Raw genomic sequence first — 16,537 nt, 5'->3', positions numbered from 1 at the left:
GTTACCTGCAGCATGTTGAGGAGCAGGCTCCGGAACTTGGTCCCCTCCACCATAAAGAGCGCCATCTTGTCGCAGAGCTTGGCAGCGGTGAAGGCGAAGCTGCGGTCGGACACAGCCTTCTGGTAGATTGTGCGCACGATCTCGCCCAGCATCTCCTCGGAGTTGGTGGAGTTCTGGGCCTCCTCCATGAAGGTGGTGAGCTTGGTGTCCACGTCGCTGCTGTTGTTCCGCATGCTGTTCAGGATCTCGATCAGCTTGTCCATCTTGTTCTGCTGGGGAGTGGTCGTCTCCACGGCCACTTCATCCTGGGGGTGTCGGAGACAAATGAATGTGCCTGAGTGAAGCCGAGGTCTCTGTGCAGGGGTGGCCTGGTGGAAAGAGGGTGGCCACCCCCAGAAAGCAGGACCAGGCCTACTTCCCTGGATCTGAGGGCTGGTCCCTCTGGGAACCTCCACCAAAGACCCCTCATGCGCCAAAAGCTCCTTGTTGCCTTTTTTCTTGGCCCCTATGACATCCAGGGCTGATACTGTTTTTGGGTTCTAGCTCCTACCCAGGATTCTCATATACATTGGCTTTTTTTGTTTATTTGTCCATCAAATATCTTAATCTAGAAAAGATTTAATGGAAATTATGAAAGAGGAAATAAGATAACAAATATGAAATCGGGCCAAAGAGAAAATGAGGGTAGGAAGACTTGGTCAGGAAGGCAGGTCAGATCCAAAATGCCTGCAGTGGTGGTTAAAAGCGGCCCAGGCAGTGGCCACCTTGTCCCCTACACCCTCAGCTCCAAATGCCCAATGATGACTTGTTCTCTGGGCATAGGGCCCCCTGTGGGCACAGCCCTGGCTTTTTGTCCTGTGGAGACTGTGCTGGTCTTCTGTAGACATATGCCACACACCAAGGAATCCTCCCATGTGCCACTAAAACAGTTGGGCTTCTAGGAGGGATATTACAAGTAAAAAGCCCTACAGCCTTATGAGATTTCACTGCAACTAGGACCAGACCAGGGGCTTGAAGAAGAAAAAAATGTCATCTTATTGTATTGACTCATTCTTGGTGGCCAAGAATGGGAACAACTTAACTGCAAGGAAGTGAGATCTGGCTGGAAGGGCAGGGTCAGGGTCATGAAATGAGATCCAAGCTTGGTCTTCTGTCCCTGACAATAGAAGCTCTGGCCTAGAAGGCACAGACCAAGGCTCTAGATCCCACTCTCTGCCTCTAGCTGTGTGGCTTTGGGTAAGTGATTTCACTCTCTGGGCCTCAGTTTCCTCATAGGTAACACAGTGAGGTTAGACGAGAAAATCTATAGCTTTCCTTGAGCCCTTCCATGGTGGGATCAAGTTCCAAGGGCAGCTAGTCTCTGGCTTGAGAACCAAACACTCAGGAGGCTGAGGCAGGAGAATGGCATGAACCCGGGAGGCGGAGCTTGCAGTGAGCCGAGATTGGGCCACTGCACTCCAGCCTGGGTGACAGAGCGAGACTCCATCTCAAAAAAAAAAAAAAAAAAAAGAAAGGGCTGAATCCTGGGTGAAGGAATAGGGTGGCCTAGTTCTTCTCCTCAAACCCAACCACCTCTTCAGGGAAGGCTACTCTGAGTCCCTGGGTAAAGTTAACAGGACACAAATCCCCACCCCAAGAGACATCTCACGCTTTACCTGTCTCTTGAAAGAGAGAAGGAAAGTGTTGCTCTCCCTGATGAAAATGTTTAGGATGTGGCTGGTTGGCCACCTAGGATTTACCCTTTTTTAGAGTGAGCAACTAGCAGAGTGGGGAGTGACCCAGCCTGAGCCTGAGCCCATGTCTTCTTGGTCCAGGAGTTCAGGAGGCCTCACCTGAGTGGAGTCCTTGAAACTGATCTATAGGTGCTATAGATCTACCTTCTCTGTTCCATTCCCCCATGTACCCCTCTCTTCCGACCATCTGGGCCCCAGGGCAGGAACAGTGGTCTGCATATAGAATAGGAATACCCACAAGAACATATCTGTACACGTTATTTCATTTAACCTTCACAGTCTCTCAGCAAGGTGTGTAGTATTAACACCCATTTTACAGATGAGTAACTGGGGCTCAGGGAGATTAGGTGACTTGCCCAAGACCACCCATCCAGTCAAAGGCAAAGTGAGGTCTGAGCCTGCTCAGCTGCGCTCTAAAGCCCGTGCTGTTTCCACTCTGCTGCCCTGCAGTTACATTTAGCAGAACTCTAGAGGACTCGGTGGAGAGGATACTGGGAGCAGCATCTCATCTTCAAGAGTGGATCCAAGAAGAGGTCTGACCTGCCTTATCCTGCCTGAGTGTGGACCCTGGGCCTGGCCTCTGGGGCAAGAGCTTGAGGAGAGTCGGCAGTAGGGGAGGATGGAGGAGAAGCCCAGAACATGGAGCTCTGCGGAAGCCCCAGGAGGAAGCCTCTGTAGGCCCTGCTGCTGTGTGGGAATGGCTGTGGGCAAGTTGGCCTTTCTTGGGACAGTTCCTCTCCAGGGTGACCTTTCCTGTGCCCCTGCTGGGCAGTGGGGTCGGGGGTGGTGGCACTGGGGTGAGCACAATGGACTTACTGCTGCAAGTACAAATCCCCATCCCTCTTCTGGAGGTTTAGGGTCATCTCCTGAAGCTACAGGCCAGGCCAGGACCAGGGTGCAGAAAGAGCCTCCTGGGAGCAAAAGTAAGGAGGCCTCACTCTCGGGTTCATGCTGGCACAGGTAGGCACCTGCGTGATGCTGAGAATGGAGCCACCTTACGGTGTGCACTGTAGAGCACTCCCTGGCCTCTGGGTGATGAAGGCGGGAAACAGGAAGGCTGGAATCAGCCTGCCCCCACTCTGAACAACTCACCTCTGCTCCCCATTCTGGCAGAGACCACTGCCTGGATGGTACTCACCTGTAGAAAAGCTTCAGTTCTTATTTCATAAGCTCCATGTTTCCCCAAGTGCTCTTCAGCACAAACAATATCTAACCCTAGAATATGCTCCCTGCACCTCCCCCATCACTCCCAGGCATGCATCTCTTCCCCCTACTCCCTTGGGCTGGGGGCTGGTTCCAAGTGCCCACCCTGGGCCTCTTGGAGTTTGGAAGGTGAAAAGCCCAAGTGTGCTGGAGGGGTTCATGATGGCCCTACCTGCTGGCAGTGGTGGACCAGTGTGGTTGGTCCCCACAGTGACCGAAGCCCCTGCTTCCCTGTACATGGCTCCCTAGACCCTCAAACCCACAAGGCTCTGCACTGTGCCCACCTACCAAAGTGCCTACCTCTTGCTGTCCTCCCTGGTGCAAGAGAAGAACAAAAATTCAATTACCGGTACCTTTTCCTTTAGCCTTCGCCGCAGTCTGTCTTTGGAAGACTGGAGCAGGGTAATTTTGGGCCGCTCCCCGATGCGCTCGGGAAGAATACTGTCTTTACGTTTTGTCTCAACCTCTGGCCCCCCTGACTGCTGTGGGGGCAGCCGCTCAGAAGCCACCGGGGCCAGGGTGTCAGGGCTGCGGGGGGCCTCAAGGCTGCTGTGCCCGGTGTCCCCTGCAGTGTCCTCCAGTTTTGGGTTCTCGATGGTCATGGTCTCTTTGGCATTGCGGTGTGCGCCTGCCTCCCCCTTGTCGCCTGGTGGGTGCTTCATGTTGCCATGGTGCCAGCGCCGGTTCTGGCTGTAGCCATGGTGAGTGGGCCTCCCTGAGGGGTGGGGTGCTGAGCCCCCCTGGTAGGATTTCTGGTGGTCCCTGTTGTGTTTGGCACTGCCTGGCTGGTGGTCACCATGCTGTTGGGGCTTGTTGCCCCCCGGAGGTCTCTGCTGCCGCCTGCAAACGGAAGAGGAAAGACAGAGAAGGCGATCACTGGGCGGGCTGGTCAGAGTCCCTGTGCCCAGCCGCCAGAACAGGAAGTCATTGCCTTGTCCATATATTCATTCTTCCAACAAACACTTCCTGAGCACCTTCTACGTGCCAGAGTCTGTGACAGCCCCTGGGGATACAGCCGAGAACAGGCAGACCGGTCCTTGCTACTGCAGAGGACCAAAGCCAATTCTTTCCTTAAAATCAGTACTTTATTCGCTTACTAGAATATGTGTGAATGCAAGCATGTGGAACAAAATTAAAAAGATCCAGTAGCAGATAACAGTGAACCCTCCTGCCTCTGACTCTGTCATCACATATGGCCTTTGGAAGCAGCCGTTCCACGTGTGTGAATCTTCCAGACATATTCTATGCATGTACCAGCAAAGATGCATACGCAGACCTGCTTCTTACAAGCACCTTCCTATGAATGACTGTTCACCATAATGTTTTTTGAAAAGTTATATCCCTTTCAAACAACTTTTTTTTTTTTGGAACATTGTCATTTTCACCCCCAAACCCACAAACTACATATGCTATAACAAGTTTTCATGGGCTAAATTGTGTCCCCCATCCACCCCGCAAAACTTCATATGTTGAAGCCTTAACCCCCAATACTTCAGAATGTGACTGTATTTGGAGATAAGACATGATGGATCACCTTTAAAGAGGTGATTAAATTAAACGAGGCTGTTAGGATGGGCCCTAATCTGAACTGACTAATGGCCTTATAACAAGAGGAACCTTTGACACACAGAGACACCAGGGAGGCTGCATGCCCAGAAGAAAGACCACATGGAGACACAGCAAGAAGGTGACCATCTGCAAACCAAGGAGACAGGCCTCAGAAGAAACCAACCCCACCGACACCTTCATCTTGGACTTCCAGCCTCCAGAAGTGTCAGAAAATAAAATGCCTCTTGTTTATGCAGCCCAGTCAGTGGTACTCTGTTACAGCAACCTAGCAAACAGATACAGAAGGAATATTTAACATGATGGGTGTAGGTCAAGACAGGCTCATCTGACAACACTTTCTAAGCACAGGGAACAGGTGTGAGTTGTGCAGCAGGAACAAACCCCAAACTTTTGAGTTGTGGCCAAAAGGCAAGTGAAGGGGTGGTGAGGGACATTCTCATGACCCTTCTGGCTGGCTCAAAGGCTGCTTCCTGCCACTGAAAGCACTACTATGTTCAAACTCCATTTTACCCTCAGGGTGTTTTCCATGCCACAACTTTACTGGAAGTGCAGTTGGAGCACAAGATAAGCATGAATTCTGCAAAGGTTGTAAAATAGTGGAAAGATTTTGCAGAAAGATAATGTTAGCTTCTAAAGAATAAGCGCTGCACCTCCTCCGTGACCTATCTTGGGTACCACAGACCTTCATTGCATTGCATGTTATGAACAAATTGTATTTATTTACTTACAACTTATTGCTTATTACTTATATAAATTCAATTTTAATATTTACTTGATACATTTTTATCTGTGAAAAATTGAGGGTATCCTGGGTTGGGGTTAAATGCATTATTTTTTTCCACTAAAATGAATAAAATTTTTTTTTTCACTGAAAAGCCTCCATTGAAAAGCTTAGTAGCTCATTATCCCCAATGGGGATGACAGTCCCTTTGACACCACCCTGTTGGGGTGCTGGGTACCTTGTCACTGTCTAGGCCCCTCATTGGGCCTCCGCTGGAGTGGTGGGTGGGGGTGTGGCTACAGTTCCTGCAGAGGTGTTTGGCTGGAGGAAAGTAGCTACTGTCTCGAGTTTTCTGTCTTGCTAGGCTGCCCCTTCCCTGGTCCTCTGGCTAGAAAGAGTGGACTTTTGTTGGGGCTCCGTTTGTCTGCTCAGGCCTCATGGTGTTTCTGGGTCTCCAGTTTCTTTAGCTCCAAGTCTGGGATATCTGAGCCAAGAGGAAAACCCCAGGAACTCACCAGTGTGTCATTCTTCAGTTCCCAAGGTCCCTGGCCTGTCTGTCTTCTTTCTACCTTTCAGAGTCTTCTTAGGTTTCTTTTTATATACAGTGTCCAAGGTTTGGGGTTGTCTATATTTATTTCAATAATTTAAGAGTCATTATTAAAATATCTGTAAAAATCTGGTACCCTGAACTGAATCCTGCTGACTAGGCATACCCTGGGCCCTTCTCAGGAGGCCTGTGTGGCATTTTTCATCCTTGGTGTCCAAGTTCAATCTTGTTGGTTTCTGATATACATTCCTGGGCAAAAGCACTGTTGCCTTGACACTTGGGTGGGAGAGGCAGCCCCTCCATTCCCAAACACACCCCCCTCCTCACTGGCATTGCTGAAATATTCAGTTTCACTCCCCATGGCAGGTAGGAGCTATCAGCACCAGCACCTGGAGAAGAGTTGGGCCCCATGAGAAAAGTGGGGCCCTTGAGTCAGGTTCCTCCCAGTGATTCTACCACCAACTGGCCTTCCGACTACCCAGCCCAGCCCAGCCCCAAATGCCTGAGTCAGCGGGGAGGGCTGCAGCCCTCATTCTGCAGAGTGTAAGGCAACCCCCATTGGAAAGCCCAGAAGAAACTGTGGCCCACAGACCACTCTCCAGGGTGCCTCGTGCCTGTGACTTTTTGTGAATTCTCCCTCCTTTAACTTCTCAGTTACTTTCAACTAATTGCTCCTTCCATTCTCTTTGTTCTTTCAATGTGAGTTATTTTTAAGCCCAGAGAGGAACCTTGGAAATTCCCTGGCAGATAATAATTGATTCTCACAACTTTCGTCATCCTTATTTAGAATTTTTGTGGCGCCTGCAGCTATGGCCCAAGAAATGTCCCCAAAGGATGGTTGACCAAGCCCTTCCCAACATCCGTCTTGAAACTGCCTGGTTTCCCACTTGCCATACAGGGATTTCCCTCTCTCTACCCAGTGCACTCCTCCACCCCCAGAAAAGAAAACAACTTCTATCTACCTGGAGGGGGAAGGAAGTAATTGCTATATGGCTAGTGGTCAGGGGCTCCAGAAAGAAATCAGCTGGCTCCTGCAGGGCTTCTGCTGTTCATTCCTGGAAATCTGGAGGGACCTGGAATTCCATGTCTTTCTGGTTCGAAAGAGCTTGGAGCCAGCCAGCCCTGACAATATAGCAATGGCCAAGAATGCCCCAGGCCACTTGGCATTAGTGGGCGTTCTCAGGCTCACCCTTGCTGGGCGGCGGCTCCTTTGCACATGTGGAAAGCCATCCGTAGGTGGGAGGGAAGCCAGGGAGTCCACCTCAAGTGTTCCCTCCTAATTGGGTAGGAAAGACTAACAGGTTCAAAATAAGGAGGTCTTGATATGGAGCTAAATGGCAGATGGAATCAGCTGGGTGAGCCCTGGGAGGGCAGGGAAGAACCCAGATGCCACTGGAGGAAGAGGCACTAAGACTGTCCCTCTGTCCTCCCTTTTCCTTCTTCCTGCACAAGGCCTTGCTTAGTTCTCAGGGTGAGTGATTGCTGGGACTGGCCTCTGTGTGCAGGCAGGCCAAGAACCTTTCTTTCCATTCGACAGATAAGACAACCGAGGCTCCGTGAGGTGCACTCCTACAGCAGAGGGCCTGCCAGGGGCTCCAGGAGTGAGCTAAGCCTGTCAACTAATCACAGCACCTTGCAGCCACCTCCCATCTGTCTCCCATTCGCCTTTAGACACAGCCTCCTTGGCTGATGAACACTCAGGGACAAGGACCGCAGTGACCTGTAGTAATGGAGACAAAGGGCTGAATGGCCACTGAGACCTCGGTGGTGATAACTGCATGAGGTCCAAATTCTTTGCCTGAGAAGGAGCCAAGAGGGCTGCTAAGGGCACTGGAACAGACTTGGAGTTAGGCCTCGTTCCCCAGCAATGGAGACCTAGGCTTCCCTGCTCTGGCCATTCACAAATATTTGTCAGCGGTCGTTGGCTGGGCCAGCCAAAACCAGCTCCTCTCTCTTCTGTATTTGCTGGCGCTGGGTTTCGTCGATACCTTCATTCAGGGGCCAGCTGGCTGCTCCCCACGAAACCTGCGGGTTTGGGGTTTGGCTGGGCCAGGGATGAGCCGCTTTTGCTCCCAGCAACCCGGCAAGGAGGCTGCACTTGGTCTCAGACACATGGACATGTGGGTCCTGGGTTGGGAAACATACTGGACACCCAGTTTTGCAGCCCTGCAAGTAAGAAGGGCAAAAACCCAACTCTCTGCCTCTTTATTTCTGGGGAAGTCTTCTTCGGGTGAGGAAGAACAGCACAGGAGATAAGATTAATATTCCATTTGTGCTACTGGCAACACCTGCTGTTAGGAAAATAATGCTTTTTTTTTTTGGAGAATGGAAATTGTCGGTTTATGCTTTTTCCATCGTTCATTTAGTTTATTCTTTATTCTTTGGGTTCTGAAATCAGATGTCTTGTTTTACTCTAAGACTGCTCTCTTTTATACAAAAAGACAAAAATGTTCTCGGAACACCACAGCTGCATTTTGGGAGGTGGGTGTAGGGAGAATAACTTCAAATTTTGTTTAAAAAAATGGTTTTAACAGCAGTCCAAATGGAGACAAATGTCCCTCTGTTCGTTTTTTATTTCATAATCGTTCCCAACTAGATATTCTGAGTGCCACTGACTTATTATGGTTCTCTCCATGTCGGACATTTTACCACATAATTTGTAGGTCTGCTTAAAAATTTCTGAAAGCAAAATTCCTAGGGCAAGTGGTTTTAAAACTATGCATGGGCTCATATTTCTTGCCTTCAGGAAAAGTGATGACTGCTTATTACCAGCGTAGGCACCTCCACTCCTGCCCACCTACACATGCCCTGAGTGAGCTCTGCCTGCCCTGGCCCAGTCACCTGGGACAACGCAAGGGTTGCGGTGAGGCTCGGAGGCACAGGCACCAACAATTTCTCTGCAGCTCAGGGGCTGCTTAGTCGAGCGATGGCATATAGGACCCAGGAACAAAAGTCGCCACACACACCCACCCCAGTTTGCAGAATGATGGGGAAGCTTAAAAAGGAAAAGTATAAGGGAGGGGAGGTTTTCTTCCCTCATGAGGGAGTCAACCAAGGGACATCATGGTATTGGCTGATGAACACTCAGAGACAAGGATCACAGTGACCTATACTAACGGAGCACCCATGGTGCGCGCAGGGCTGATTCGGATGATGGGTGTCCCCCGCAGGACACTCCTTGCCAGGTCTGTCTGGGGTATGGCAGCCTGCACAGAGCCTGGCACTGTGCCACTCACAGTTGCATGGGCTGGGTGATCTCACCTCTCTGTGTCTCTGTTTCCAGATGTGCCAGTCCCCACCTGAGGGGCAGTTGTAAGGATTACATGAGTCACAGCATGACGGATGAGAAAACCAAGGTCCAGAGAGGTTGCTTTGTCCTTCTAGGGTCGCCCCGCTAGTTAGTGGCAAAGCCCTCACTGGAACTCAGATTTGTGTTTTTGCTGTAACACGCCATATGACTGGATTTAACAATTACTTATTGGAGATCTCAGTGCTCTTTGGAGAACTGGGGGCATCGCTACAAAGCTTAGGCAACACACGGGCCCTGTAATTGCCAGAGCCATCATTATCATGATGGCGGCAACAGCAGCACTGGGCCAGCTACTTCCTGAGCACTCCCTCCTAACAACGCTGAGAGGAGAGGGCCAGCATGCATCAGAAACACTCCTGCCACCGTGGGCGGCCAGCCAAGCTGCAGACTCCCCCACTCCAATAGATTTTGTGGCTCTCTTTGCTCAGAGTTGGGTAGAAAACAATTCAAGATTGAGGTCTTTGCCAGCCTAGGCAAAAGTTCATGTAAGAAGTGTGGTAGCTCACTGCATGGACTAAAAGCTTTAGAAATCAGATGTTTACCTCGCCAAACGATGCTCTGGAATAGATGAAAGGTCTGATTGGTACCTCTGCACCCTACAGGCAAAGACTTTTCTCACTAACTGTAGAATGAATGAATGAATGAATGAATGAATGAATGAATGAATAATAAATGATGCAGAGAAAGGCTGGTTCATTATTGTTTCATTAATTAAACACATGCTGAGACTCTGTTCTGCCCAGAGGTTAATCAGAGATGTCAGTGGGTTTGCCTGAGGCCACATAGCTCCTGCAGCCCTCTGAGAGAAGTTGGGGTGGAGGCAGGGTGTTTGTGTGACAAAGCTGTTCAGCTGTCCCTACAGAGTCCTTCAGCACTCCCCTAATCCTATCCAGGTCTTAAGGTCCAGACCTGAGCAGGAGCCTTCCCCAGCTCCCAGGGTCCTGCCCGAGCCCTCCAGACTCCTGATATGATTACAGTCTGGAATGCCCTACATCACACCCACGTCTCTGCCACCAGAGTGTCTTGTGTGTGCCTCTGAACTGCTCCCAAAGCATCCACTTCCTTCAGATGAGGCAGAACCTTCTCTCTATCTTCCTTGTGGTCTGGGGAGGGGAGGTAGCGATGACTCCAGCGCACAGGGCTGCTGCCTTCATGAAGCTGAGGGTCCATTTGGAGAGACAGATGTGAATCTATTAGTTACAGAAACAGGTCTCTAGCTTTATCCCAGGACAAGAATCACGAAGGAAAGGAAGCAGAGAGCAGCACAGGCCTATGTTCTACTCTGGCCTGGAGGCAGGACTGGCCACATAATGAGCGGAACCCAGTGCAAGATGAAAATGTGGGCCCCTGGTTCAAAAGCTATTGAGAAAGTCAAGACAGCCATATTGGAGCATAAACCAAACGCAGGCCCTGGACTCGGGCAGTTCACACACTCTGAGGGTGGTCCTGAGGCCACAGGACTCAAACTCACATCACAGGGATGCAGAAGAATGGTTCATAGCTAGCATGTAGGAAGCAGTTACAGTAAGCCAGGCATGGCTTTCGTTCAACCCCAAGAGAGGAACTATTGTTCACTCCATTTTCCAGAGAGGTCTTCAAGGCACAGAAAGGGTAAGAAACTTGCCCAAGGACACACAACTTGCACCAAGCAGAGCCTGGGTTTGAACTTATATAGTTTGGCCCCGAATGTGTGCCCTCAGCCACCACACTGAGTGTTCTGAGAGTGTAGGGCAGCTTGCACACCATTGCTGAGCCACTAAACCCAAATTCAGAGGACCACAGGCCTCAGCCAAAGTCAGCAAGGAGGGAGCTGTGGGCTGTCCTATGGCAGCGTGTGGTGCAGAAGCAAAGGCGGAGGGCTGAGCCAGGGCCCGCTGGGAATGGGGAGGCCGGGGCTGGTGAGGGGAGAGCCTGGGAGGGCTCTGGATGGGAGGGTTGGAGATCCGGCCAGCCAGCCTTGGCTCCACTGCGTCTCGGGAAAACCACAGAAGCCACTGCAGCCCTTGGTTTCCATCTGTGCTGGGAACAGCCCTTTCCCACCACAGTCTGCTGGTTCCTGTGGCTGGGGCCTGTGGGGCAGGGCTCGGGGATTGTTTTTCGGGTGGCCCCTCTGGCTTCATTGCTGCCTCGTGGGGAAGGGAGGAAAGCGTGCAGACTCCTGCCACCTTCCTCCATCTTGCGGCAGCACAGAAGGCCAAGGGAAAAAGGCTTTCTTGGGGATACTCTATGGGGTTCTGAGCTTCACTCAACTGCGGACCCATTTCTGAGGCCTCCCCTCAACCCCACTGGAAATCCAGGGCTCTTGGCCCACATTGCCCAGAACCAGTTTGCTGTGCAGCTTTGGCCAACCACTCAACTCCCCGTGGCTCAGTATGCCCACCTGCAGAATGGGGAGACCAACCCCGACTCAGGTTCTTAGGGTGGCCTCCCACCTACAGGACTCCTGCCTGGATCACAAGGCTAGTCTGAGGCTACAATGAAATGAAGCCCAGGAAAGCCTGTGGGGAACAAAAGCACGTTATGAATACGAGGTATTATTTTTGTTCCAGGGTGAATCCAGCATTCCAAGAATCCTCAGCCTCAAAAGTTCTGAGGCAGTGTGATGTCATGGGAAGAGCACGCGGCTGCCCTGGGGAGTCGCCAGGCTCCGCGTGAACCTGGTGGAGTGTTTCCAGGGGAAGGCCCTCGCCCTTCCGCTCGGCCTGCCAAGCCCTGCAGTCTCCCAGATCCGGCCCATGGACCCTCACTACAGCCTGCTGGTGGCTCTGGGCATCCCCCGAGCTTCACAGTAGTTCGTGGTAGTTTGAAGTGTGGACTTTGGAGCCAGATCCCCAGAGTTCAAATCCTGACGCTACACTTTTAGCTGTGCAACTTTGGGCAAGTTCCTTAACTGCTCTGTGCCTTAGCTTCTTCCCCTATAAAATGGGAACAAATAGAACACCCATCTCATAGGGTTCTTGTGAGTTTTAAAGGACTTGATACAAGTGCTATATTAGTGTTTGTTTGTAATATTATTATGCCATGGGTTTTCCAAGCAACAGAGCATGAATCCTCCAGCTATGCAGAGGGAGGGATCACACTGTGCACCCATAGTACAGATGGGAAGACAGGGGCTGTTTCAAATGTTAGGTCAAGGAAGAGACCTCAGGATGCCTGGCTTCTGTTCTGATTTTGGGCTCTAAGGGCTGAGCTTTGGGCATAGTTTCCCACCATGAAAGTCTTCATCACCCAACATTCACTACCATCATCCCGAGGGAAATACTGTGATGGGGTCCTCGCAGCTTGGGGTCCACCTTCAGTGACTTCCTTTATCCCCAGCCCAAAGCCTGGCCATTCGAATCCACCACAGCTGGCCTCGGCACCCTGGCTGATGGGCCTTAGCTGGCCCTCTGCTGTCTCACTCACCCTACGAGTTGATTGACCTGGAAGTTGCTCTCCCGGAAGTCACTCTTTCCTTGCCTGTTTTAATCTTACCACCTTGGTGTGGTGGAACAGCCCTTAAACTAGAAAAGCTAGGACCAAGAGGAAGGCACATGGACAGAAAGTCGCCTAAAAGTTATTTAAAATCCCAGGTGCGACCAATCATGGAGCCTGTCTAATAAAAGAGGGCTGGGGAGAAGGGGCCAGTGGAGGGAAGGCTCAGAGATGCAGAGATGCAGCCTGGGCTCACTTAATGAAGGAACTTTCTCATGGGGAGGGCTGCCCCGCAACAGAGGGGTCTGTCTGGGGACATGGTGAGCTTCCTGTCATGGGAGGTGTCTGATCACTGACCAACAGTTAGAAACTGCAGTGCCCTATACCTCACTAGTTAGCTGTTGCCCATTCTGCAACCAGCACCTCATCCAGGAAGCCCTCCTGGACCTCAGCAGCCCTCTAAGAAGTTCTCATCTGGAGAGAAAGCCTGATGTGGTAAAAACTTGAAAGCTGGACACCCTTGGGTTCATATGCTGGTTTTGCCTTGGTCTAGCTGGGTGGTCTTGGACAAGTCACTTAACTTCTCTGCCCCTCTGTTATCTTATCAATCAAACGGACCTCACAACAGCTATGCACATGGTAGCTGTGAGGATGGGGTGCGCTGATCTTCGGGAGGTGCCTTCCCAGGGAATGGGCCTGCCTCCATTATCCCATGCTGTCCCACACCTCTAGGCTTCTGGCTTTCCTTCCACTCTCAGGGCTGGAGTGAAGGTGGAGTAAAGGTATAGTGATACTCAATTTAGCACCATCATTATCCCTCCCTCCTTCCCTCCCTCCCTTCATCCCAAGTCACCATGGTACTCAGATTTAACAAACACTGAGTGGCCCCCACCTGCTGGGGGCACACATGCTCACCCTTGATCCTCACAGCAACCCTAGGGGAGCCTTTCCCCCTTGGGAGAGGTTGAGCAGAAAGCCCATCCAGGACCAGGGCCCGAACCCCCGTCTCGCCCCTATGCTCTTCACTCCAAGAGACTGACCCATCTGCGCTCTTCTAGAAGAACTTCCTCACTGCTATTTAAAATAATCTAGTAGGAATAGCTGAGAAAATGCAAAGGATTGGGCATTTTAATTCGTCAAAGTCCATCTTGGGACTGGTGGAAAGGGCTGCTTTCTCCATTACTTTGGCCGTCAATGGGGGTGACTTGCAGCTGATGACAAAAACCTCCTTTTTTTTGTTAAATAATAATAATAATAATTATTATTATTTCTTAGAGTCAGGGTTTTGGTTTTTGCTCTGTTACCCAGGCTGGAGTGCAGTGGCATGATCACAGTTCATGCAACCTTGACCTCCAGGGCTCAGGTGATCCTCCCACCTCAGCGTCCCAAGTAGCGAGGACTACAGGCTCGTGACATCATGACTGGCTAATTTTTTTTTTTTTTTTTAATTTTTGTAGAGACAGGAGTTTTGCTATGTTGCCCATGCTGGTCTTGAACTCCTGGGCTGAAGCAATCCTTCTACCTTGGCCTCTCAGAGCGCTGGGATTACAAGTGTGAGCCGCAGCCCCTGGTAGCAAAATCCTCTTGAACAAGCCAATTTCTCTTCTCCTAAACTTTCTGAATGAAGTGTTTCACTTCAAGGCCTGGGCATGAAACTGAGTAGTGACCCCAGGACTCCAAGTTGTCGGGAGCTTCCCTAGGACAATGAACATGCCTCAGTGGCCTGAGCTGCATGTGGGCCGCCACCCTGTTGGCTCCAGTGCAGGCCCTTCCCCTGCCCAGCGTACCTCTCTACTTCTGGCTACAGGCCCTCCATGCAAGCCTGCCTACTGGGGTTTCCCAAGTTTCTTAGCCAGGAACCTACTGGGGAGCTTGCTGGGGCAGAAGATGGGGCGCTGGAGGCTCAGCACCAGTTGGCAAGCTGGCCGATGGTGGCTTCCTCATCCATCATAGTTTATTCTTGATTCATTGAAAACCACGTTTGAGCTAACGAATGAAGAATATTGCTTCTCAGGCTGGCCTCTCCCCTGAGATCTGGGTAGAGCCACATACCAGCTTTGGAGTCTTCCTTTGCAATCCTAAAATCTGATCAAACTCTGGTGTATTTGTTACGTGTCGGGGCTCAGGTAGCCACAAAGCAACATAACATATGGTTCCCGCCCTTGGGGATCTTAAAATCTAGCGGCAAAATTGCTATGTCTACTCAAAGAACCATCTACGACAGCATGTGGCGAGACATGGGGTCTGGTGAGTTCTCGGGGTGAGGTTAGGGAGGGCTTCCTGGAGGACGTGAGGTAGTGGAAGGACCCACATAACTGAGAGGAATACCCTTAAAAAGGAGAAGAGTAGAGACACCAGCAGTGGTTGCAGGTGGGATGGAGACAGAGAAGTAGTGGGGATGGGAGGATCCCCCTAAGACTGCAGGGGAACTCAGCTCCCTCCTGGGTCAGGGGCCAGGGGGCTGGACTTGGCATTTTTGACCCAGACCTTCAAAGTCTCTGTTTCTGGATGAAGAGACCATGCCACACTGAGGCCTCTCCCCTCCATCCTGCTATGTGGCCGTGACTATCATCTTGCCACGCTCTGACCTGAAACCTTTGGTGACAATGCTCCCTCTCACCTAATTCCTGACTCCTCCTGGCCAGCCTGGACCTCCTGTCTACCAGGCAAGAGCTAGAGAGGTGGTGCCACCATCATAGTGCCGCATCTGCTTGTCCCTGCGCCTGATCTTCCCCATCCATCAAGACCCTCCCCACACGTTCTCACTTCAATCAGTATGCACGGAGTACTTCATCAGGCCAGCAAGCTGTGACCCTGGTGTCCCAAACATAAGCATCTCAGAGGAGGGCAGCACAAGAGAGACACTTTTCAAGAGGGAAAGTGTGGAGCCTGGGGCACCTCTGAGAGCAGGCAGGTGTCATGGGTGTGCCTGGGGGCTGGAAAACAGGTAACAGCCCAAGCTAAAAGTGCTGACCACAGGATGATGATAAACCTTGTCCAGCCCTTCTTGGGGAAAGGCCCCTACGTGAAGCAAAGATGGCCCCACAGATGGGACACAGAGGAGCCGGTTGGGCTTCCTGGGCTGTGGAGCCTCCAGGCTCTTGGCGGAGAACGCCGCCAGCCGCCTCACTCCATTAGGCCTCACAGCCCAGCCACCCTTCTGGGACTGCCTCCTCCACTCATGACTTAATTACTGACAGGTTCGCTTGTCCCTGAAGGGCTGTTTTTCCATCCTGGGAAGGAGAGGAAATGTGAAACGGAGTTAGCTGGAGTAGGGCCTCCCCTGGGCCACGTTTTTGAGCCAGGGCTGGTGGAACTGATGGGGCCATGGTGAGACGTTATCACAGAGAGGACTCCTCAAGGCTTCATGCATAGTGGAACCCCCAGCCCAGCCATCTTGGGACATGGCTCCCCAGCAGATAGTTTCTTTGTCTAGAACCTTCCAAAATACAAGGGACTTGTAGCAGGACGCTGATAACCTTCACATTAAACACCACTCAGCTAGGAGACAGCCCGTGTATTCTGGGACAAGGACCTGCTCTCCTAGTTCCCAAATGCTGAGGTCCTGAGGCTTAGAGCAGTGAGTTAAAAGTCAATGAAAGGCTTTCCCTTATGATAAAAGACAACTAGTACATTTAGAAGGAATGATGGAATTAGAAAATCATTTGGCAACCACCATAAGAACAATTGTTTCAAGCAAGAATCATCAATGGAAGTCAGTGGATGAAAGTTTTGAAGAAAAACAGAACATTGGCGTAGCCTCTAAATATCTCCCCAAAGATATTTCTTAATTACAAAGGGAAAACTTGTAACTTTACAGTGGAGAAACTTGGCAGTCACCACCTTTGCCAGGTAATCATAGTTAACATCACCAGGCAGGGGATTAAAGAACAGCACGTACCTCCTGACATGGTGCACTGGGAAGGTCACATCACTACAGTGCCTATAACCCAAGTCCAATCATGAAGAAATGCCAGAGAAACCGACGCTGAGGGACCTTCTACAAAAATAACTGGTCACTCTTTAAAAAAAGGCCAATG

The 16,537-nt window shown here is 51.0% G+C and overlaps 1 protein-coding gene across 24 annotated transcripts in view, besides 2 other annotated features; it reads right to left on the bottom strand.

The window, feature by feature from the left end:
- CTIF (cap binding complex dependent translation initiation factor) overlaps nt 1–16,537 on the bottom strand; it is a 324,187-nt gene that overhangs the window by 101,523 nt on the left and 206,127 nt on the right. For 15 of the 24 annotated variants that reach the window (XM_047437960.1, XM_047437965.1, XM_017026100.2 and 12 more), the window contains 2 exons: nt 3,284–3,776; nt 6–305 (listed from right to left, as the gene is read on the bottom strand). In XM_047437960.1, coding sequence (XP_047293916.1) covers nt 6–305; nt 3,284–3,776 — 793 coding nt within the window. The remainder of the gene's footprint in view (nt 1–5; nt 306–3,283; nt 3,777–16,537) is intronic. The other 9 variants (XM_006722586.4, XM_011526279.3, XM_047437969.1 and 6 more) reach the window with 1 other exon arrangement.
- Nucleotides 3,027–3,615: an enhancer, noted in NCBI's record as "H3K27ac-H3K4me1 hESC enhancer chr18:46284451-46285039 (GRCh37/hg19 assembly coordinates)". NCBI's record gives its function as "activates a minimal SCP1, AML or CMV promoter by ChIP-STARR-seq in naive H9 embryonic stem cells {active_cell/tissue: H9 hESC(naive)}" and the evidence as "EXISTENCE:reporter gene assay evidence [ECO:0000049][PMID:30033119]".
- Nucleotides 3,616–4,204: an enhancer, noted in NCBI's record as "H3K27ac-H3K4me1 hESC enhancer chr18:46283862-46284450 (GRCh37/hg19 assembly coordinates)". NCBI's record gives its function as "activates a minimal SCP1, AML or CMV promoter by ChIP-STARR-seq in naive and primed H9 embryonic stem cells {active_cell/tissue: H9 hESC(naive and primed)}" and the evidence as "EXISTENCE:reporter gene assay evidence [ECO:0000049][PMID:30033119]".

The sequence above is a fragment of the Homo sapiens genome, chromosome 18 (assembly GCF_000001405.40).
Source record: "Homo sapiens chromosome 18, GRCh38.p14 Primary Assembly".
In the NCBI taxonomy this organism is placed as follows: Eukaryota; Metazoa; Chordata; class Mammalia; order Primates; family Hominidae; genus Homo; species Homo sapiens.
Note: the sequence above shows the minus strand (reverse complement) of the source record. Positions and strands in the feature narration are given on the sequence as shown.